Here is a 24,240-nt window from a genome sequence, read left to right as displayed (position 1 = left end):
CAGAGCTGCAGTTTCGGTGAGGGTTAGTTGTGTGAATTTTCAAGTGCTGAGCATGGTACCTGGTGTATAGAACTTGTTCACTAAATTGTTGTTGTTACCTCTGTTAAATATCAATCATCTTCCTCATTGTTATTTAGGACAGAGCTGGGGTTAGTCTGGATTTTATTGCAGGCTCTCATGGATTGGTTGTGTGGCCCTACACCATGGCAAAGCACTTTCCAGAAAAACAGGTGTTTCAACTTGTCCCACATGGAAACTAATTCTCATAAAAGATAACAGAGTGGTTAATTAAGCTTTCTGATTTTGGAATCCAAAGGCCTGGATTCAAATCCAGACTACCAGCCACTAGCTGTGTGATCTGGTCAAATTGCTCAACTCCTTTGTGCCTGTTTTTTCATCTAAAAAGTAGACTTAATAAGAATTCCTCCCTCAGAAAGTCGTTTTAGGAATTAAATAAGATAATTCTGGTAAAACATCTAGACGGGTACCTGATAGATACTCAACATGTGGTAGTTACTACTAATATTTTTTATTATCTTTCAGGAAAAGTCTTTGACCTCTGTTACACAGTGGCTGACCCTGTTGCATGGGTGAGAACAATTTAGGCTATAAGCCATCAAAGTCTGCCTTTGATTTCTATTCTAGAATGGAAGAAAGTTTGAAACACAATTCACATGACCTTAAGTTATGCAGCATAGCCCCCTAAACTCAGGCAGGATGGCACCGAGGGAAGGCCAAAGCATGTGCCCCCTGCCCAGCTCCTCTACCCAGACAGCTGTTTCAGCATTGAAGATCCAATTAGGGCCTGTCACTTCCACAGCAAATCTACACTCATTGTTCAGCTGGCATTGAATCAGATTCTCGCCATATTTGTGAAAAATGAACGAACTTCAAATACTATGTGATGGTCTTCTACACACAGGCACCTCTCACTGAACAGAAATGTGCTCCAGGAGTTGGAAGCTGCAGCAGTCTATGAATTGAACCAGAAAAATAAGAGCTGAAACCCCACAGAGGCCCTGAGCTGCCATCATCTGGGGTTCCAGTTTTTCCATCTTTAACTTTTATAGCCTGAAACATAAGGCTATGATTAATAACTTATTAATAACTGCCACCATTTACTGGGAATTTACTATGTAGCAGGCAGCTACTAAGTCCTACATACACACAGCTATTTCATTTAATCGTTACTCTATGAGTAAGTACTGCTATTATCTCTAATGAAGGGACCAGGAAACAAACTCGGAGGCTAAATAATTTATATTGATACTAGTTTGCACAGAAAAAAAAAATGCGATGGAGCCAGAAATGGAATCAGGCAGTTTGATTCCAGAACTGTGAAACATTAATTCTAGTTTTCTCAGAAATTTTTCAAACACTTGATTTTGAAAGTATGCTTTCTTCTAAAGTTTGATTTCTTATATTCAGAGATCCATTTCCTCCCATTAATATAACATCTTTTGTGTTTATCATGAAAGCTAATGAATTGATCAGAGTCACTTTAAAATTTTGCTTTTAGACAAGCCTTGCCCAAACACATCCATTCCTTCAAGAGAGGGCTACCTGGAGTGCCGATATCTAAGAAAAGATCATTTCTCTACAGAGACAGACGAATGGGGAGAGCTGACCAATTACCTAGAAAATACAATCGATGCCAGCAGGCAATAAGAATAATTTAAACCAATAAACTCTTTCCTCTCAACTGCAGGGTTGGGTACAGGGTTTCCTTTCTCTGTCTTTTTGTTTTGCTTTCCATTGGTTGTGCTTTCCAAATAATTGTTCCATCTGTCCACTTCAGTTTGCCTGAGTAATCACAGCCAGAGGGCACTTAGAAGTCAAACGTCAGACATGCAGGGAAAACTAATGCGTGGGAGGCTGTGGGAAGAGAAATCGTTGTCTGTTCTTTTTCCCTGCAGCTGGGCCAGGGATCTGGAAGTAAATTATAAGCACCAGTTGCCCCAGGGAGGAAGCTACTGTTTGGGAATGGAAATGGAAAAGGGATTTGTTGGACTCCACTGTCAGGAACGTTGGCTCCCAGGATCAAATGTGCTTAGCAATGGGATTAAGTCAAGAGATCACAGCCAAGCCAGAGATTAAAAGTGTGGTGACAGGAAATGAAAAACCAGAATCCTGGGACAGCTTTTTTTCTGTGCCATTTACTCTGAAGTAGGCCCCCTGCTGGTCACTCCATGTGCTTTAACTATTTTGATCCTCCCTGCAGTTCTGTTTCACAGATAAAGAAACTAAGGCCCGTAGAGTTCAAGTAACTTGCCCAGGACCACACAGCTAGTAAATGGCAGAATGAAAAATTGAATTCAAGTGTATCTTAATCCAATGCTCCTGCTCTTATCTACTACATCTGGCTACTCTAAACCAGGGATGATGACCAAGGGTGAAACAGAGTCCTAGAAAGGACAAAGGTGCAAAGGTGAGCCCAGATTATAAAAACGTGGATAATATGTATTACATATAAAGATATTTTACATGCATTAGATGTAAAATACTTAGATTTAAAAACCAATATAGAATTTCAATTTATAGATGCACAAAAAGGTTTAGTAACTCACCTGAGGCCACAAAGCCATTAAGTAGGTTAGTGGGGAATTGAACCCATGTCTTTGAACCTGGTCAAAGACTACACTCTTCGGTATATGAGGCAGCTTCCTTCCTTTCATGCTATTAACTTCTGAGTAGAGCAAGTTAGTTCAGCCTCTTATAAATTATCTTCTACAGAATGCCATGTTTCTAAAGACATTTAGCGACAAATAAAAATAAGTTTGTAAAAATGTTATATTAAACAAGGTTAAGCAGTGTTCTAAAATCTAAAGCTTCTCCCTGCATCTAAGCTGCTCATGTCCATTGTAAATATGCAAGAGAAAGATGATAAGCAGAAGGTTCCTAACTTAGTTGACCATGTAACCCTTTTTATTCTTTAAATAAAGGCTGGCCAGTGTGTCAACCATGGATGATGACTTGACTCCCATGTCTTTGCCTCTAAATAGCAAGATGAACTTTTTTAAAAAAAAACACCAGGAATCACACTGTGTACTGCCTAATACCTATATCTTATGTAGGGTTACCAACTGGGGAAATGGTGAGGTCAACCTTGTTGCTCTCACATTGACCCTTCAGGACTCCACTCCTGACTTTTAATATAAATGCCCTTATGTTAACCTTCCTTCCCAGGTGCAGCTAGTCACATAGAGATCATTCTGTTTTGAATAAATATTAATTGAAAGTAACGGCTTCATTTGTTAACCCATTTTATTGAAGAGCTCATGAAAAGGGAAAGTCAATGCAGAGAAATTCGTCTTTGTGCTGGACTCTTAAGCATAAGATCAACTTGTGCCTTAGAAAATGGATAGTAGAGTTTTCCTTGCGCTGAAATATAGACCACAAACTACTCTGACTACAAATAAAGCTAGCGCAAGGATGAGAGGGTTTCAGAGTATGATGTTGGGGGTGCAAACTGTAGAGCTAGGATGGTCTGGCAGGTTGAGTGAGATCACAAAAGAACCCTAGAGTAAATTTTCAAGTAGACCTGTATGGAAAATTTAAGATCAGGCCACCATAGTGGCATAAAATTGAGGAAATTAATCTATAATATTATGAAGAAAATGTATTTTTTTCATATTCTCCTAAATTTTGTAACAGTAAAATAATATCAGCATTTAGGAACCTTGAATTGAAGGTGTGACCTGGACCAAAGGGAAAGAGGAGGCATTGATGCCAGGGGCATCTCCATCGGTCATGCCACCTATGGGAATCAGACTTGACCAAGATGAGCTGTGGAAGCAGTTGGTCCAGTTCTGTATGGAGTTGTTGGGAAGTCTCACTTCTTCACTCTTTCATTCAGTCATCCATTCACTAGTCACTGAGTGTGTACTTCGTCAGGCACTGTGCTTGGTGCTAGGAATACACAGAGAGAGATCGAAATAGCCACTGCTCTCATGCAACTGCACTCCAGTGTGAAAGATGAATATTAATCAAATTCAGACATCCTATGAAGTCAGAAAGCTTTTGCACAGAAATTTGCACAGAGTAAGGAGTCACAGCATGTCGGGGTGATGATATGTAACACCTAGTTTATATCTAGTGGACACCTAAAACATAATACAAATGAAATATCTTCTAACCTGCCTGTCCCCATCTCAGTAAATAACTCCATTCTTGCAGTCATATAAGCCGACACATCTTGACATCATTCTTCACTACTGCCTTTGTTGTGTACCCAATGTCCAACACTCCTCACCATCTCCACTGCTACCATTCTGGTCCATTTCTCACTTGGATTATTGCACTAGCCTCCTAGTGACTTTTTTTTTTCCTCCTGTTTTCACTCTTGTTTCTTTTCTGCACAGAAGCCAGTGATTTCTTTTCTTAAAAGTCCCCAGTGGCTTCTCATCTTATTCAGAGAATAAGGTAGAAATTCTTATAATGATAATGTCCTGAGTGTTTAAGCGCTGTCTGACATGCTTTGATTGCCACTGTAGCCTCTCTGTCTTTGTCTCCTACTGCTCCCCTCCTGCCTCTTTGCAGCCACTCCAGCCTCCTTAATGTTCCTGGGACACAAGCACATACCAGTCTTAGGGATTTCACACTGATAGTTCCCTCTCTCTGGGATGTCTTCTCCTAGCTGTCTGGCTCACTCACTCCCTTCTTTTAGGCCTCTATCCAAACGTTGCTTGTTCAGAGGGGACTTATCTGACTTTCTTATGAAAACTTGTATCCCTGTAGCACTTTTTGCCTCTTAACTAGTTTCTTTTGTCTTCATAGGTCTTACCACTACTTAACAACTCATATATATGTTTATCTCATCATTGTCTGTCTGCCATTGTCTATCTCATCATTGTCTATCTGTCTATCCTAGAATGTAAGTTTCATGAAAACAACATCCTTGCTTGTCATATCCCCGCAGCCTTGAACATAGTTGGCCCTCGATAAATATTTGAATGATATATTAGACAAATAAATGATGCATTAAGAAACAGTACCACATCAGCCCAAAAGCTTGGAGAAATGGGCACAATTCCGATGACATTCAGTCGCTTCATCTCTCGTGCTGTTTTCATTGTCCTTCCTACTCTCTGTTATTCACGCATTGTACTTTGCACAAAACTGTAGGAGACAGAAAGCAGCTTATGCCCTGCATGTTGGGATTTTCCCCAGAAGCTCCTCTCCCTGCTGATATTCCTGAATCTGGTTCACTGGGGCTTGTTCAACAGGTGAGCCAGGTATGTCTAGTCATGCTGACGCTTTCCCCACACCTGGTCGTTTCAGAAGACACTGTTTCCCGTAACCAGGGCTTCGGCCAGAAAAGAAGTTTACCTCTATCTGGGAACTGTGTGGCCTGAAAGAACAAACATATGAGGGGAGAAATTCAGGTCATTGAAAAATGGGCTACGAGCATTTTCTCCGTAATGCCCCTCTCGACTGCCACCTCTTGTACTTGGCCTGTATTTAGAGTTCAGAAAAATCTGAATTTACTTATTTATCATTATTAACGAATGCTTCATTTGCCAAAGGATTCCTGAGATTTCTTTTAACCAGCAACTTTCCCTTGTACATGTAGGACAGAATTGGGGTCACAGATGTTCCATCTGCTGTTTGGCAACAGAGGCACTTGATGAAGATATCATAAGGAAGAAGGGCTGGCTTTAGGATCATTACACCTGAATTTTTTTTTTTCTGTCTTGGGTTCTTTTTTATTTTTTTTAATTTTTATTTTAGGTTCAGGAGTATATGTGCAGGTTTGTTATATAGGTAGACTCGTGTCATGGGGGTTTGTTGTACAGATTATTTCATCACCCAGGTACTAAGCCTAGTACCCAATACTTATTTTTTCTGCTTCACTCCCTTTTCCCATCCTCCACCCTCAAGTAGTCCTCAGTCAGACCTGAATTCTGATTCCAGCTTGGCCACGCTTAGCCACAGGCAAGCCCCTGAACCTCTCTGTGCTTTAGTTTCTTTGCTTATAAACACCTAAGCCATGCGGCTGTTGTGAGGACTATTTGAGTTGTACTTATCTCGCCCAGCACAGAGCATGTCCTCAACAGACAGTAGCTTCGGGGCTGGAAAACATGTCTAACGTGTAAAGGCAATTCAGCAGTCTTGTTCATGCATTTTTGTATGCAAGTTTCTAATCTGTGTTACCTCTGTGGGCATATACATCATGGGGATTTGTAGCTTCATTTTATAAGAAGCTAATATTGGTCATGCTTACCTACTATTCTTGGGTGTTTGCCAGAGGCTGCTTTGGAGTATATTTGAAATGGCCATCTCTTGCAGTATTTTCCATGCCTACAGATTCTGAGTTTTCACCTTGTCCTTCCGTTTGCTGTCAGAGCATTATTTTAGCTTCTAACTTTGCAGTTTCTAATCATATCTACGTTTTTCCACCACAAGGAAAGAATGTTGAGAATGAGAGTGAAGGACAGAGATAACAAGTAAGGCTATACCTGCTTAGCTGCTGGATTTCCTTCCCTCTTATTTTGATGTGGCACTGTTTGATTTCCCTGTTTGCAAATTGCGTCTTGCTTCCCATTTTGCCAAATTTTGATCATTTTCTTCTTTCAGAAAGGAAAAAAAAAACACAAACAACCAAATTTTATTTTCCATATAGTTTAATTGAATTGATGGCTGCTGTCACAAAATAAAATAAAAACCTCACAAACAAGAAGGCTGCAAATCCTAGGATTAGGCTACTTCTGAAGTTTTAAAAATTCTTCAAGGCATTTATTTGCAAATTCTACCCATTTGCATATTTTATAAGCATAATACAAAAATGTATTATTTATCAGGTGGTCTAGGCATGCTTGTGGAAAATGAATGGTTGCAAATTCAACCTTCATTTTAAAATCCTCATTGTAAATCCATCCCTCTAACTTGCAGGAAAACTGGGTTTTTCAACCCTAGTTTTTTCTGATCTACTTAAAATACTCTAGACTCCACACTGTGAGCAACTTTTATTGAGTATGTGTCTGTAATTTGAAGAGAATGGCTGCCAATACATAAAATCACAAAATACAGAATAATTTACAATGTCAAAATCACCTGATCTCATTGGCTCCATTTTATCTGGTCATCCCACTGACATCCATGCCAAAGATATTCTTGCAAGTTTTCGGGCAGAAGTATGATCTCACACTTAGGCAATTTCAGTTGTCAATGACGCAATACTTGGGAGTTTCATGCCTTGATATCTTGTCTAACCTTTATGTACAGTCAAGAGAAGAAATCTGATTTGAGCTGTTGCTGGTTCCTGTTGAGTTTAGACTCCATGGGCCAGAAAATACCATACCCCCAGATCTGAGACAATTGATGAGTGAATAATCATTACAGTAGAAAACAAAATTAAATGAGCATGCCATTCTTTGGCTTTTTGCCATTAAATGAGCATGCCATTGTTTGGCTTGTATTTTATGATTCAGTATCCATTTTAAATATCCATTTTTAAGTATCCATTTTAAGTGAGACTTTTTAAGTGAAATATTTTAAAGTATCCATATTAAGTAAGTATGATAACTATATTTTAATATGATTGCTCTCTTTGGTGAAATGTAACTAATAGGCAGAAAATGCTGCAAGTGGAGGAGGATTTGCTAAAGCATCTATTAAGGCTTCTTTTTGTAAGGTAGTTTTCTTCAGGCACCCAGAAGACACTTTTGTCCCTGTAGAGCCACATGATGTTTTCTGGACTATAGGAAGCAAGACACTGGTACAATGACAAAGTGCTGGTCCTCTCTCCTGGCTCCCTTCCGCTTGCCTGTCATATCACATATCTGACCACTGATTTGTATCCTGTGGACACAGCCTGTACTATGGGTTTAAAGAGCTGCTTCTCCTATTGTAATTCAAATAATAATTTCCTGATCTTCTAATAAGTGCCAGGATATGTTTTCAGTTCTAAAGGCACAAAGATAAATAACACACAGATCTTGCCCTCAAGGATTTCAGAGTCCATAAACAGAGATGTAAATATATTGTACATAAATTCTAGCATAGTGCTATTGTGCTTTGATACTTGAAATTTTGGTTAAAGGTTGAAAGTGGTGAGGCAGAGGATGAGGAAAATGGGTTGTCCTGAACTGTTTTACCTTTTCAAAACCTAAAAATGACTGTTTGGTTTATATTGTGAAAGAAATAAAAATGATGTTTAATTATACACAGATAATATCCCCTTTCTCCATTTGCATATGGGGTATTGGATTCAGCTGTAGCTGACTAAGCAGTGGCTTCAACAAATGAAGTTTTGTTGTTTCTTTGTCACGTGAAAAGCTAGAGGGAGGCAATTGCTATATTTGCTCAGTGGCTTAAAGACACAGGGCTGAGGTCTCCATAGTCCTTTCTCTTTGGATTGCCAGAAGACTGCACAGCATCACAAAGATGGGAAGGGGAAAAACCGAAATATACTATTGTAAAGTTTTTGTACTATATATGAAGTAGTATAAAATCACTACAAGACAGACTGGTAATTTAAAGATAAATACTATAAAACCTATAGCAACCATTAAAACAACACCACTAAGAACTGTGGCTCAATACCGAGAAAGGTGGGTAAAATGAAGTCATAAAAAAACCTAATATACCAAAAGAATTCAGTGAAAGGGAACAAAAAAAGGTGCCACAGTAAAAAACAATAAAATGAATTTAAGTCTAACTATATCAATAAGCACAATAAATGTGAATAGTATAAACTCTTCAATTAAAAGGCTTATAAAATAAAAGATATTGGGTTTTTTAAAAAAACAAAATTCAACTCTATGCTACCCACAGAAAACATAATTTAAAAGGTACAAATAGGTTAAAAGCTAAAGATTGGGAAAAGGTACACCATGCTAATGCTAATCTAAACAAAATTGGAATGGCTATATTAATATAAAAGTGAATTTCAAAGCAAAGAATATTATCAAGGATGAAGTCATTTCATAATGATAAAGGGACCAGGTTATCAGGAGAAAATAACAATGCTAAATATGTTAATGCATATGACAACAGAACTTCAAAAACTAACTGAAGTGAAAAGAAAAAATAAACCCAAATTATATAAGATTTTAATATTCCTCTTACAACAATTGATGGAACAGAAAACCAGTGAGGATACAAAAGACTTAAGCAAACAATTAGCTGACTTGACCTAATTGGCCTTTACAGAACATTCAACAACAGCAGAATATACATTCTTTTTGAACACATCCAGAGTATTTACCAAGATAAGCCATATTTTGGGCCATAAAATGTCTCAGTGAAATTTTTAAAAAGTAAATCGAATCATGTTCTCTGACAATATTGGAATTAAATTAGAAATTAAAATGAGAAAGATCTCTGGACAATCTCCCAAAGATTTCAGAAGTAAATAACATATTTCTAAATAAGTCAAGGGTCAAAGAAAAATTCAAAGGGAAAATTAGAAATTATTTTGAATAAATAAAAATAAAAACCCAGTATATCCAAATTTATGGCATGCCACTACTTTACAAGCAATGTATAGCACTAAATGCCTACATTAGGAAAGAAGTGTCTCAAATCAATGACTTCAGCTTCTACTTTAAGAAACTAGATGAAAAACAAATGAAACCCAAAGTAAGCAGAAGAAATGAAATAATAATGATCCGAGAGAAAATCAGTGAGATAGAAAATAGAAAAACAATAGAGAATATCGATAAAATTAAAGTCTTGTTTTTTTGGGAAGATGTAGCCAGACTGATTAGGAAGAAAAGATAAAAGACACAAAATACCGATGTTGGGAATGAAAGAGGTACATCTTTACAGAGTCTTCAGATATTAAAATTATAATAATATTATGAACAACATTACAACAGTAAATTTGAAAACTTAGATGAAATGCAGAAGTTCCTTAAAAAGACACAAATTACCAAAGCCACTCAAGAAAAAATAGATAACCTGAAAATATTATGTCTATTAAGGAAATTGAATTTATAATTAAAAACCACATGCAAAGAAACATCAAGCCTAGATGACTCACTGGTGAATTCTCTCATATATTTAAGAAAGAAAGAGCAACAATTATACACAAACTTCCCAGAACATTCAAGAGGGGCAAATAATTCCCAACTTATTCTATGGGAGAAGCATTCCTTGATACCTATTACTTTCAAGAGTATAAATGCAACAATTCTAAATAAAATTTTAACAAATAGAATCCAACAATATAGAAAAGGATAATATACCATAACCCAATGCAAGATTGCTTTAACATTCAAAGTTCAATTCACGTAATTCTCTACATAAACGCATTTTTAAAGGAAAAAAAATGAGCATCTCACTAGATGCAGGAAAAAGATTTGACAAAATCAAACAAGTATTCCTGAGAAAAACTTACTAGATTAGAAATAGAATGGGACTTCTTAAGTAGGTAAACAGATAAACCCATCTGTGAAGAATCTACAATTATCATCATACTGAATCTTAAAAACTGAATGCTTTTACCCTCAAATCAGGAACAAATTAAGGATGCCTAAGTGCAGTGCTTCTATTAAAATTTTTACAGCAGGTTTTAGACAATAAAACAAGGCAAGAAGGAGAAGAAATATAGATGGCAAATAAGTAGAAAAATGATAGTCATTTAGGGGAATGAATATTTAAAACACAGTAGCATACCACACATTTCTAGTAGAGTGGCTAATCTTTTTTTTATATATACTTTAAGTTCTAGGATACATGTGCACAACCTGCAGGTTTGTTACATATGTATACATGTGCCATGTTGGTGTGCTGCACCCATTAACTCATCATCTACATTAGGTATATCTCGTAATGCTATCCCTCCCCCCTCCCCCTACCCCACGACAGGACCCGGTGTGTGATGTTCCCCACCCTGTGACCAAGTGTTCTCATTGTTCAATTCCCACTGTGAGTGAGAACATGCGGTGTTTGGTTTTCTGTCCTTGTGATAGTTCGCTCAGAATGATGGTTTCCAGCTTCATCCACGTCCCTACAAAGGACATGAATTCATCATTTTTTATGGCTGCATAGTATTCCATGGTGTATATGTGCCACATTTTCTTAATCCAGTCTATCATTCATGGACATTTGGGTTGGTTCCAAGTTTTGCTATTGTGAATAGTGTAGAGTGGCTAACCTTAAAAATTTTGACCATATAGTGTTGGTGAGAATGTTGAGAAACTAGAACTCTCATACATGCTAGTGACACAATCACTTTGAAAAAGTTTTGTTTCAGTAAAGTTTCGGGATACAAAATCAGTGTACAAAAATTGGTTGCATTTCTATACACCAAAAACTTTCAAGCTGACAGGCAAATAATGAACACAATCCATTTACAATAGCCACAAAAAGAATAAAATACCTAGGAATACAGCTAACCAGGGAGGTGAAAGAGCTCTACAATGAAAATTACAAACTACTGCTGAAAACAATCAGAGACAACACACACAGATGAAAAACATTCCACGCTCATGGATAGGAAGACTCAATATTGTAATAATGGTCATTCTGCCCAAAGCAATTTACAGATTCAATGCTATTCCCATCAAACTACCAACAACATTTTTCACAAAATTAGGAAAAAAACCATTCTAAAATTCATATGGAACCAAAAAGAGCCCAAATAGCCAAAGCAATTCTAAGCAAAAAGAACAAAACTGGAGGCATCACACTACTGAACTTCAAACTGTAACTACAGGGATACAGTAACCAAAATAGCATGCTGCTGGTATAAAAACAGACATGTAGAACAATGGAACAGATTACAGCACTCAGAAATAAAGCTGCACACCTACAACCATCTGATCTTTGACAAAGTCAACAAAAACAAGCAATGGGGAAAGGATTCTCTATTTAATAAATGGTGCTGGGATAGCTGGCTAGCCATATGCAGAAGAATGAAACTAGACCCCTTCTTTTCACATATACAAAAATCAACTCAAAATGGGTTAAAGATTGAAATATAAAACCTGAAACTATAAAAACACTAGAAGAAAACCTAGGAAATACCATTTGTACATAAGCCTTGGTAAAGATTTCATAATGAAGTCACCAAAAGCAATTGCAACAAAAACAAAAATAGACTAAGTGGAACCTAATTAAACTAAAGAGCTTCTGCATAGCAAAAGAAACCATTGAGTAAACAGACAATCTACAGAATGGGAGAAAATATACAAAAACTATGCATCCAACAAAAGTCTAATATCCATAATTTATAAGGAACTTAAGCAAAAAAAACCCCATTAAAAAATGGGCAAAGGACATGAACAGACGCTTCTCAAAAGAAGACATACATGTGGCCAACAAGCATATGAAAATATGTTCGATATCACTAATCATTAGAGAATGCAAATCAAAACCACAATGAGATCTGAGATCTCATCTCACACCAGTTAGAATAGCTATTATTAAAAAGTCAAAAATAACAGATGCTGGCAAGTTTGCAGAGAAAAAGGAATGCTTATACGCTGCTGGTGAGAATGTCAATTACTTCAGCCACTGTGGAAAGAAAGCAGTTTGGAGGTGTCTCAAAGAACTTAAAATAACCATTTGACCCAGAAATCCCATTACTGGGTAAATACCCAAAGGAATATAAATTGTTCTACCAAAAAGACATGTGCACTTGTTCATTGTAGCACTATTCACAATAGCAAAGACATGGAATCAACCAAGATGTCAATCAACAGTGGACTGAATAAAGAAAATATGGTATATATACGCTATGGAATATTATGCAGCCATAAAAACAAAATTAGGTCCTTTGCAGCAACATGGATAGAGCTAGAGACCATTATCCTATGTGAATTAACACAGGAACAAAAAACCAAATACCGCATATTCTCACTTTCAAATAGGAGTTAAACACTGAGTACACGTGGACACAACGGTGGGCACAGAAGACACTGGAGCCTACTTGGAGGTAGAGGCTGGGAGAAACATGAAGTTTCAAAAACTACCTACTGGATACCATGCTCACTACTTGGATAATGACATCATCTGTACACCAAACCCCAGTGACATGCAGTCTACCCATGCAACAAACCTGCACATGTACCCCATCAACCTAAAATCAGTTGGAAAAAACAAAGCAGCTTGGCATTTCTTAAAATGTTAGATACATGCTTATCATATGACCTGGCCATCCTACTATTAGGTATTTTCCCAAGAAAAGTAAAAGCATACACAAATGTTTCTAGTAGTTTTGTTTGTAATAGCCAAAAATTGAAAACAACCTAAATTAAGGTAAATGAATAAACAAATTATGGTATATCCATATAATGGGATGCAAATCAGGCTGGGCGTGGTGGCTCATGCCTGTAATCCCAGCACTTTGGGAGGCCAAGGCGGGTGGATCATGAGGTCAAGAGTTCGAGATCAGCCTGACTAACATGGTGAAACCCCATCTCTACTAAAAATACAAAAATTAGCTAAGCGTGGTGGCACGCGCCTGTAATGCCAGCTACTCAGGAGGCTGAGGCAGGAGAATCACTTGAACCCAGGAGGCAGAGGTTGCAGTGAGCCAAGATCATGCCACTGCACTCCAGCCTGGGCAGTAGAACAAGACTCTGTCTCAAAAAAAAAAAAAAAAAAAAAAAGGAATGCAAATCAACAATAAAAAGAAATGAACAGTTGATACATGCAAAAACAGGAATTGATCTCAATGCTGATCAAAGGAAGCAAAAAAAAAAAGAGTACATACCATAGGATTGCATTTGTATAAAATTACAAAAAATACAGACTATAGATACAGTGCAAATCAGAGGTGCCTGAGATTAGGGGGAAGGAGAAGTATGGGCAAGACAAAGGGCTAAAAAAGATTATGAAAAGGGCTTGATGCAGTGGCTCATGCCTGTAATCCCAGCAGTTTGGGAGGCCGAGGTGGGTGGATCACTTGAAGTCAGGAGTTTGAAACCAGTCTGGCCAACATGGTGAAACCCCGTGTATACTAAAAATACAAAAATTAACCGGGTGTGGTGGCATGTGGCTGTAATCCCAGCTACTTGTGGGACTGAGGCCCCTTCGCTTGAACCCAGGAGGCAGATGTGGCAGTGACCTGAGATCACGCCACTGCACTCTGCCTGGGTGACAGAGCAAGGCTCCATCTCAAAAAAAAAAAAAAAAAGGCATGAGGAATGTTTTGGTAGTTGGTTATGTTTATTATATTGATTGGAATGATGGTTTCAAGGTGATGGTATACATGTCATAATTTGTCAAATTCCACACCTTAAGTATCTCCCATTTATTAAATGTCAATTATACCTTCAAAAGCTTTTTAAAAAGAAAGGGTGGAAAGGACTATATTAACTATTTATTAAAACCTTACTATAAATAGTAGAACACTATCAAAAAATAATAATTGTATATACGGAGAAGAGTAAAATACAGTCTTTCAATCTTGGATACTTTTAAATTACACTCCAAAATGCTGTGCTAGGATGCATTAGGCAAGAAATAATGTGTCTTCTCATTTTCTCAGTATCTACCATACAGATATTTACACAGATCTGTTTGAGGATATTAGGTACCTTCATTTCCTTTGATTTGTAAAATACGGTGAGATTTCTAATGAGAAACTTTGCAGCATCATTATTTTTTTGAGAGTATAAAAACTTTCCTTTGTTCAGTAAATTATTAGGATATGGGATCAAAAGCTCAATAAAGAATGAGTAGCTCCACTGTCTCACCAATAGTCCAAGATTCCTTCACTTCTTCCCTTCCTCATTCCTATTGCAAATCACCACAAATCCCTAATTGATACTACCTTCTTAGTAATCTGCCAAATGTATCCACTTCCTTCCACCTCCCTTCCCTTTCTTCCAGTAAACGAACTGTTGTGATGGTCAGTTTAGCCAATTAACAATTTTTCTGGTTGCCAATCGAAATCCTCCAGTGAACTACACCCAGCAAAATGATCCAATGATGGTTTTTCCGTAATGTTTCTAATGATGGATCCCGTGCAAAGGAAACGTTTCACTTTAAAACCTGATGTGCTTACTATCTCTGCTTGTTTCTGTTCTATGAGCTCTCTGGCAAATTGGGGATACACAAGTGGCCTGTCTTTACTAAACGCAGTGGCAATTGCTAAATATCAAGCAATATACGGGGTATAGAGGTGGAAAGTAAAAAATAAAAGCCTCTCTTTTTCACTGAAGTCTGAAGACCTTATTTTTAACTGTCTCTGGAGTACCTAAGTCTGTCCTTTTAGAAATTCAGCTTCCTTGATGGAAAGATTTCTACACCAAATTGGGGCTGATGTGTCAGCAAGACATTCATTCATATTTCACACTAAGTGCCTGCCATAAGTTATTGCAGTATCCTCATAAAAACAGAGAGGATTGCACCATTAAGGCTCTTTCTATGTGGTGAATATACATTTATAGCCTATAACATAATCAATTTTAAATTAGATTTCTCTCAGAGAAAATTTTTCTGGGCAAGGATCTCTCTTTCTCTCTCTCTCTCTCTCTTTCTCCCTCTCCCTCTCTCTGCAGAGAGAAGCACACTGCTAGCACAAAGCCCCTGAAAATAACTCTTTACAGTCACCTCCCAATCAATAAGGAGCTTTATTTGCTGCATGTCACACCCTCTGTTCATTGTATTCACAAAGCTGAGCTGGCACAAAAGAGGCCGCACAAAGGCCAGCCTCAACTCTGAAGGGCCCTGTGCAGGACATCAGAGCCCTGGGCTGGCTCCAACTCTGCTGTTAACTCAGTGTGTGGCCATGCCCCTTTTGGGCTTCTGTGTCCTCTGCTTTTAAATGAGGCCATTGGACCAAGTGATCTCCAAGGGCTGACCAGATTCAGAAGTTGTCTATTCCATGAGCCTAGAGATAAGATACATGCATGCCATCTGCGGGCTGTGCTTCCAACCATTCAGTAGGTGAGACTCAGGGCCCTTTTGAGCTGTGGAGGAGAAAAGCATGAGCACCTTCCAAGATGTTTCGCCACTGGATCTGCATCAGCCTCCTGGTAGGGAATGTTGCTTGTGGACACCATTACCATAGCCAATGAGGTGTCATTTAACACTGGGGTTTAGGGAAGCTCTCAAGGTCTGTCATTTAAGAGAAACAAATTTTCCTTTCTATGTTGGTATAATTCTCCCAACCATCCCACTTTAGCAATCAAATACACTTCCCCAAAGAGCATTCATTTAATATAGACAGATATCTTGCCAAACCATTGCCATGACAGGTAGCCTGGTGGTAAAAGGGAATCTGGTATAAGAATTGGATTTGGCCCCTTGGTGTCCTAGGTCTGCAACTGAAGTAACTGAAGGTCTGCAACTGTTGTAAGTTCTTTTCCCTCATAGGGCCCTACTTCCTAATCTGTGAAATGGTAAGCATGAGCTAGGTATTACTTAAAGTGTCTTTCAGCACAAATATTCTAACCAGAGATTTAAAAATTGGTGGCACCAAGACAATATTCAGCCTGCAGATATGATGTTTGCCCTATGCTGTGTGAGCCATGCTGTGTGAGTCTTCTAATTTGAACTTACTGATAACATTAAAAAATTTGGAGTTATTTGAACATTTGGATTATTCACATAATAATCCAGATTTCTGGCCTCTTCTGAAAAATATCAGCCAATCTGGTCACACTGGGCTGAAATTTTTCATGGCAACATTTAGCTGGAGCTGAATAGCTGCTGACCTTCAGGCAAAGCCTGAATCCTCCAGTTCCTTCATTCCTGCCACTTTTGAGATGATCACAGACTGAGATCAAGTGTCAAATCACTGAATATCTGACACCTGGACAGCTTGTCTCATTTACATCCTAATCCATCCAGGCATTTGTGTTTTCAGCGGCTGCTTAGCACTTTTAGGAAAGAAATGGCATGGTCCAAACTTTCTTTGCATCACTAATTCCCTCATTTGGCAATAATATTGGTGGGAGACAGAAATTGGGTCCAGTGGAAGCCTGCCTTGGACAAAAACACTGACAATATCTTGGCTGCCTGGAACCCTCACAGTAATCAACCAACTCTCATCAACGAGCTTATGCCTCTGGGCAACCCTATCTATGAGTAAACATCAGGAACTGGCATTGGTATGTGAATTGGTCACATTATTCCTAGTGAATTCACCAAGTCAGTAACTTCCATGATTTGGGTTTTTCAGATGTGAAATAAATTAATTTCACACATAAGCCAGGTTCCTCCTAGAGCTAAAATTCTCTGAAGTAGTACAAATATCTAGACATAGGCTCATATTTAAATATGCCTAGGTTTGTATGTATGCATGTATGTGTTTCAGAGTTGCATATGTCTGCTTGCTTTAAAGTACATGTTTAGTGAAAATAGAAACAGCATCTACATCCAGAATCATAACTATTGATATAGGAACTGTGCCAGGACAAAAACTGGGGAGAAATCTCATCTATAGCTAATGTTCCCTAAGACAGATGTGTCTCAGATCTCAACAGCAGAATTGACTCAGTGTAGAGAGGGTCACTGACAACTCACAAGGTAGGGTAAGAACCTGTCAAAGAATGTCTGATGCTGGAATCCAAGGCCAGAACAGAAAGTATAAGCAAGGATCAGCACTGTGGGTGTGTCTGTCTATGCACTAATAAATGCTGCTAAAGGCCTTCCTTCTCCCCTTCTAGGTGCTAATTTTATTAGGAAGTTTTAGCCCTGTGTCATCTCAAAGGAGACATTGATACTTTACTACTTGATATCTGAAACTGTATTCCAGCTCAGCCTTCCAAATGAGATTCTTGCTGTGAAGCCTTACTGGGCTAAAGGGCCCAAACTGTCAAATGGGTATCCAACCTCTACACACTGGGAATACTGCAAGTCAGACAGGCTTGATTGAAATCTCAACCTAGCCATGCGCTAGGTGTGTCCTTGAGGGAGTTACCAAAAATTCCTGAGTCTCAGTTTCCTCCCCTGTAAAGTGGGGATGATAATAATGCCCTCCCCATGATTTATGTAAGAATGGAGTTACTCTAAGTCAAGTGCTTACCACAGTGCCTGAAATTTTCTCAGCCAATGTTCTTCTTTTTTTTTTTTAGTATGAAACACTTTAGAATCAATCTTTACTACTACTAATATCCATTATTAAGTTTCTTGACTGTGCTAATCATATTCAACATCCACAACTCTGAGAGATGGGTACCATTATTATTGCCATTTAAGATGAGGAAACTGTCTCATTATGCTTAGAAACTTGTCCCAAGTCAGAGCCCAACTATAAACCCTGCCTAATTGCAAAGTCTCTACTTTTAATGATGACTCTATACTACTTCCATCAGATAACCCGTCAACAACACTGAGAAGAGCATATGAGAGGCAATGCTCCTCTCGTGTGGCTAAGCAGATGAAGGTTTCCGTATAGGAATTCAATAAAAATCTATGGCTGACAATGAAAATGACTACTCAGATCCCTGTGCATTTTTAAAGGTCAATTTGTTTTTGAAACTTTGTGGTTTTTTTCCTACTGAATTTAATCATTCTTAAATTCATACCATCTCCCAAAATTTGATTCTGCAATATTCTCTTGAATTTTGAAACCTAGTTGAATTGAAGGGGAATGTTCATGCTGTTGAGAAGAAAACTGGCACCCCTGCTATCCAGAAGTGTTCTGTAAAGGACTCTTTTGAATATGTAAAGGAATTAGAATATCTCTTAATATATGTATTGATATATTCATTAGTATTGGCTACATATATTTGTAGAAACCAGGAGTCACTATTACCCAGAACATTTAGCCCCATCAAATGTCCAACTGGATCTGAAACAAAAATAACCTTGGAACAAAATAGGCCACATTTGTCAGAAACTGACTCCCAAACTCTGTGTGAGCCACCCCGCCCCATCCCCAGCCTTGTTTTTTTTTTGTTTTTCCCTACTCTGCAGTCAGCCTGACTTTGGCAAGCAGTCAAGAAGTGAACAAGAGAGATGGAAGTGCTCTGGGTATCTGACCCCTTACTGGCCGCTCAACCATGCAAGCTGTGAAGCCCAGTTTAAAAAAAAAATGTTGCCTTTCTTTTCCTCTCACCCCTTAACGAACTGCCTCATTCTCTTCCCCACCATCACAGAAGGAAAACAATCAAAAGCATTAGTATTCCCGTGAAAAGGGCCAGTCACACAGGGGATGACTGCAAGTCCTTCGTAACCACTCCAGGACGCTGCCAGGGCCTGAGAAGGGACAAACTCCAATTGCTCCAGTTCAAACTGGTCCTGGCCTGGTCAAACGGAGGAGACAGAGCAGTGATTCACAGCAGGACGTGGTACTTGCAGACTGACCGTCCTCTCAGGACTCACTAGGGTCTCTTCTCTGACGAGATGATACCTGGTGTGCAAGTCTCCTTTTAGAAATGCATAGATTCTGCTATATATTTCTTTTCTTGTTGGTCTCTTAAGAACAACTGGGAGCTCTTACCTAACCTGAAGTGTCTCCTTGTGTTGTTTTCAGGAATTGGGACACTCACCCAGGACACACTATGGTGCTTCAGCCAAGTGAAAGGCACTATCGAGATTGGAACCACAGAAGGTAGGAGAAATCCCCATGCCCTTTTCCTTGCCTCCTTGGGAGTTTGTGCTGATTTCAAAATTAAAAACTTTCATCTTTACTTTCATGAATCTAAGTCCCCACACACCCCAAAATTGCATTCTAGGCTAGAAATGGATTTAATAACTTCTTTCTCTCCTGTTTTTTTTTTCTGTTGAAATTTATTTTATTCCTACCAATGAGCGGCACTGAAATGAACTTTCAGTAAAGTAGATTTGCAGAGACAGAGGCTAAACTAGGCAAGCCTTGTTTCAGGATGATCTGTCAGCGCTGTAGAATTCTGAGTCCAGACATTTTAAGACTTTCAGCCATAATTCTCTCCCTTTCATTCTATGTGGAGGACCATTGGCAATACATGAAGTGCAGAGGGAGACTGAAGAAGTCAAGTCTAGTCATATGACTTACGAGAACATTGAATCCCAATCTTAGCATATAATTGCCTTTCTGGTTCTCAGGAGACTTTCCTATTCCAGGGCCCTTTACCTGGGATAATGCATTAGTTTTCCTCCTCCTGAAGAACTTTTTAATTTTCTTTATTTTCTTCTTTTATAAGCCTGGGCTTGGAGACCTCCATGACTCTCCCTAAGGGTGTCTGCGTTACAAAACACTGGATGATAGGCAATTGGAAGGAACTAGAATAGCACTTCTGGGTATTTTAAATCACGGTTTAGCTCTTCTAGCAGAATGCAGTAGGGCTTGCCTGAAACAGATTTTGCTGCTTTGATGGTAGGTTTAGATTCCAGATGTGGTATAACACAGGTCTAAAACTAGTTTTAAAGAATGATGAAGTGAACAGTTGACAGGATTGAACACTATACTCAAACTAACATGCATAAATGCATGTGAACTTCAGGTCATTCTGCAGCACTTCAATTCTGAGTAAAAAGTAATTCAAGCAAAGATTAATCTGAGGAATTTGAAAGAGGCAGTTTATTTAAAATCTTGCTATAATTCCTTTGTAGAGAATCTAATAGTGGGTGACCAAAAACCAAATACTCTATGTTTACAAAGTGGGAGAAAACACACTAAAATTAATAAATAAATCCATATAAAATTATATTTAAAAGAAATTGATACGATTGCACATATTTATAAGGTACAGTGTGATGTTTTGATATGTGTATATTGTGTAATGATATCAAACCAAGATGATTAGCATATCCATTACCTCATATATTTATCATTTATTTGTGGTGAGAAGATTCAAAATCCTCTCTCCTAGCTGTTTTGAGAGATACCATATGATATTGTTAACCATAGTCACCCTACTGTGCTATAGAACAAAACTTATTCCTCAGATCTATGACTTTATACTTATTGACTAATCTCTTTCCATCTTCCTACCACCCTCCCAGGCCTCTGGTAACCACTATTCACTATTCTCTACTTCTATGAGATCAACTTTTTTAGGTTCCTGATATGACTGAGAACATGTGGTATTTGTCTGTCTGTGCCTGGCTTATTTCACTATTAAGTGAACTATGTTAATAATGCCTTTCAGGTTTATCCATGTTGCCACATGACAGGATTTTATTCTTTTTTATGGCTGAGTAATATTCCATTGCACATGTATATATATATATATATATATATATGTATATATATAAAATGTGTGTGTGTTTGTGTGTATATTATATATATTATATATCCCATTTTATATCACATATTATATATATATATATATCACTGTATGTATCTATTCATCTGTTTATGAACACTTAGGTTGAGTTCATAATTTGCCTATTGTGACTAGAGCTGCAATAAACATGGGAGAGCAGATTTCTCTTCTATGTACTGATTTTATTATTTAAATATAGAATCAGTAGTGGGATTACTGAATCTAAAATTATATTTGTATATAAACTCATCTATTTTTGAGATGAATTGTCAAATAGAGCCTTACAAAAGATCCTTCTAAAGCCCCTATGAAGACAGATAGAAAATTATCAATCCCATTTTATGTCACCTAAAAGAAGATTTTTGAGTGTCTTCTACATGACAGCACTGTGCTAGACATTAGAAACTTTTTTAAAAAAGAAAGAAAAAAATGACCTACTCTCTAACCTTATGGATCTTAAGAAAATGAAGCTCAAGTGAATGCCTTGTTTTAAATCTTGGCCATGATTCAAAATCATTTGAACTTTTTAAACAATAGAGACTCTGAGGTCTCCAAGAGCTACTAAGTTAGAGTTTCAAGGGTCAGGGTGATACAATTTTTTTTTTTTTTTTTTTTGAGACGGAGTCTCGCTCTGCCACCCAGGCTGGAGTGCAGTGGCATGATCTCGGCTCACTGCAAGCTCTGCCTCCTGGGTTCACGCCATTCTCCTGCCTCAGCCTCCCAAGTAGCTGAGACTACAGGCACCCACCAAATATGCCCAGCTTATTTTTTTTTAATTTTTATTTCTTTTTGTATTTTTAGTAGAGATGGGGTTTCACCGTGTTAGCCAGGATGGTCTCGAACTCCTGACCTCGTGATCCGCCTGCCTTGGCCTCCCAAAGTGCTGGGATTACAGGCGTGAGCCACCGCGCCTGGCCAATACAATGTGTTTTAATGAGTTTACCCAGTTAATTCTGATGTTGTGGACTGGCTTTGGGCACCACAAGTCTAGATGACTTGTTCCAAGTAATCCATTATTCTCTTACTCTGCACTTAAATCTTGTCGTTGTGACTGGCTTCCCATCAATTATGAGAATTCTAGTGTCTGCTCTAACTATAGGTCTTACCAGTTGCAGGTTTATTATTTGCTTAAGACAAATTAATAAGATAATACAGATACAGCATTGGCGTCAGTGCTCAATACTTTGTAAGTACTCGATATTTGTAAGCTATTAATATAAATATTATAATTAGACCCTCATTCTAAATTAGTGTTCACCAAAACCTTATGACAGGTAAGAATTTTTATTCCTACATTACTTATGAGGATATTGAAGTCAAGCAAACAAACAAAAAATATTAAGTACATTGCCAAAGGCACTATAGCTTATAAATGGGTGAGACAGTTTTCAAACCCAGTCTTTGGGACTCCAAAGCCCCTGCTCTTTAAACATTGTTTTGAAAATAGAGACTCTGACTTAGTAGTCTAGAATGAGGGCCTGGAATGTGCATTTTACACATATGCCCTTAGACGATCATTATGAATACACGTGAACTGAAGATAGGTTGAAATGTTTGTGTTGCATAATACAAAAGTAGCCTGCTTGAACTGACTGTCAATTGGGTCAGAGTCAGGATCAAAATGACAATCCCTATTTTGTTTGGAAAGTGCACTTTAAAATAGTGAATACAGGCAGAAACTTTTTAAAAAGAAGAATTAGGTTGGTCACAAACACACAGCCACTGGCATGGAGGTTCCCTGGCCAACATATCTTAGATGTCATTTAACCTCCACTAGCACTGCCTCAATGGAAGTTGAGTATTTGTTGAGTGAATTAATAAATGACTTTCACTTGCTACTAGTTAAAAATCTGGTTGAAAGGAAAGTGAAGGGGTTTAATTGGCATAATCTACCCTAATTTTCTATACGCTCAAAGTCAATAAAAATTATTCAGCTTTCCCTTCCATGTTACTTATTCCTATTAATGGCTTTTTCTATTTCAGTTCTATCACTTACTAGCCAGTTACCTTGGCAAGTTAATGTCTCCATGCTTCAGTTTTCCTCAGGTGTGGAATGGGGATAATCGTATAGTTACCCATTATGGCTATAAGGGCTAGGGGTGTGGGTGTGGGTGTGTGTGTGTGTGTGTGTGTGTGTGTGTGTGTGTATACACACATACATATATGTATAACGTATATGTATATATTATATTTATGCATACATATGTGTATATTGTACATATATAATATATAATATACAATATTATACATATATAATAATATACAATATACAATATTATACATATAATACATATACAATATACAATATTACATATTATATATTATACATATATAATACATATGTATGTAATATATATGTATTGTATATATATATCAGGCCATTACCAATAGATTGTTATAAGATGTTCAAATTGCATCTTGGTGCAAGATACTTATGTGCATCTTGGGTATCAAGTAGCAGACTAGAATTTCTTCACATGTCAAATTATTCTATAGGACTTTAAATGAATGATACTGTGAGTTCAACAATAAGCATTTAGTGAGTGCTTACTATATCCAGGGTACTGTCTCAGAAAGTGAGAGGGTTGTAAAGATAAATCAAATATAGTCCAAGCTCTCAAGAAATGCACCACTGAAGAGGAGACAGAGCATGGCCCAGAAGAGTAAAGCATCACATCAAATAGAACACAAGGTAAAATGAGCTACAGATAAAAGTGCTTAGGCTAAAGACTACAATGCTCAGACTACCAAAGAGGTAGGAATATCACACAAAATTTGGTGGAGCAAAATAGACTTGTGGGAAGAAACCATTTTAAGACAAACCTTAAATAATTTTTAAAAACATAATGTTTATTCTTTTATTTTTCTGATTACTTAAACAATATATTCTCAGTGTAGAAAAGTTTAAATTTAACCAATAAAAATCAGAAAATAAATGTCATTCATAAACCTACAACCCACAGATCAGCACTGTTAAAAGTTTATATTTTTCTAACCTCTTGATTATGCATATATGATCATTAATTGATTCACTCAAGAAACAAGTACTGTGTGTCAAATACTGTGCAAGGAATTGGTTAGTTTACACCAGACAATATCAATTTTTTTTTTACCAAAATGGAGTCATAATGGAAATACTATTTTGTAA

The 24,240-nt window shown here is 37.6% G+C and overlaps 1 protein-coding gene across 4 annotated transcripts in view, besides 1 other annotated feature; it reads left to right on the top strand.

The window, feature by feature from the left end:
• Window positions 5,376-6,575: an enhancer, noted in NCBI's record as "CDK7 strongly-dependent group 2 enhancer chr5:146473503-146474702 (GRCh37/hg19 assembly coordinates)". NCBI's record gives its function as "activates an origin of replication core promoter dependent on BRD2, BRD4, P300/CBP, MED14 and CDK7 cofactors, with strong dependence on CDK7, by STARR-seq in HCT116 cells {active_cell/tissue: HCT116}" and the evidence as "EXISTENCE:reporter gene assay evidence [ECO:0000049][PMID:35650434]".
• PPP2R2B (protein phosphatase 2 regulatory subunit Bbeta) overlaps window positions 18,995-24,240 on the top strand; it is a 500,779-nt gene continuing 495,533 nt past the window's right edge. For 2 of the 4 annotated variants that reach the window (NM_181678.2, NM_181677.2), the window contains exons 1-2: window positions 19,045-19,193; window positions 19,379-19,456. Coding sequence is in view for 2 of the 4 variants with exons in the window: in NM_001271899.1 (NP_001258828.1) it covers window positions 19,249-19,258; window positions 19,379-19,456 (88 nt within the window). In the remaining 2 variants the exon portion in view is untranslated. Of the gene's footprint in view, window positions 19,259-19,378; window positions 19,457-24,240 lie in introns of all 4 variants that reach the window. The other 2 variants (NM_001271899.1, NM_001271900.2) reach the window with 2 other exon arrangements.

Source organism: Homo sapiens, chromosome 5 (genome assembly GCF_000001405.40).
Source record: "Homo sapiens chromosome 5, GRCh38.p14 Primary Assembly".
NCBI classification, from domain to species: domain Eukaryota; kingdom Metazoa; phylum Chordata; class Mammalia; order Primates; family Hominidae; genus Homo; species Homo sapiens.
Note: the sequence above shows the minus strand (reverse complement) of the source record. Positions and strands in the feature narration are given on the sequence as shown.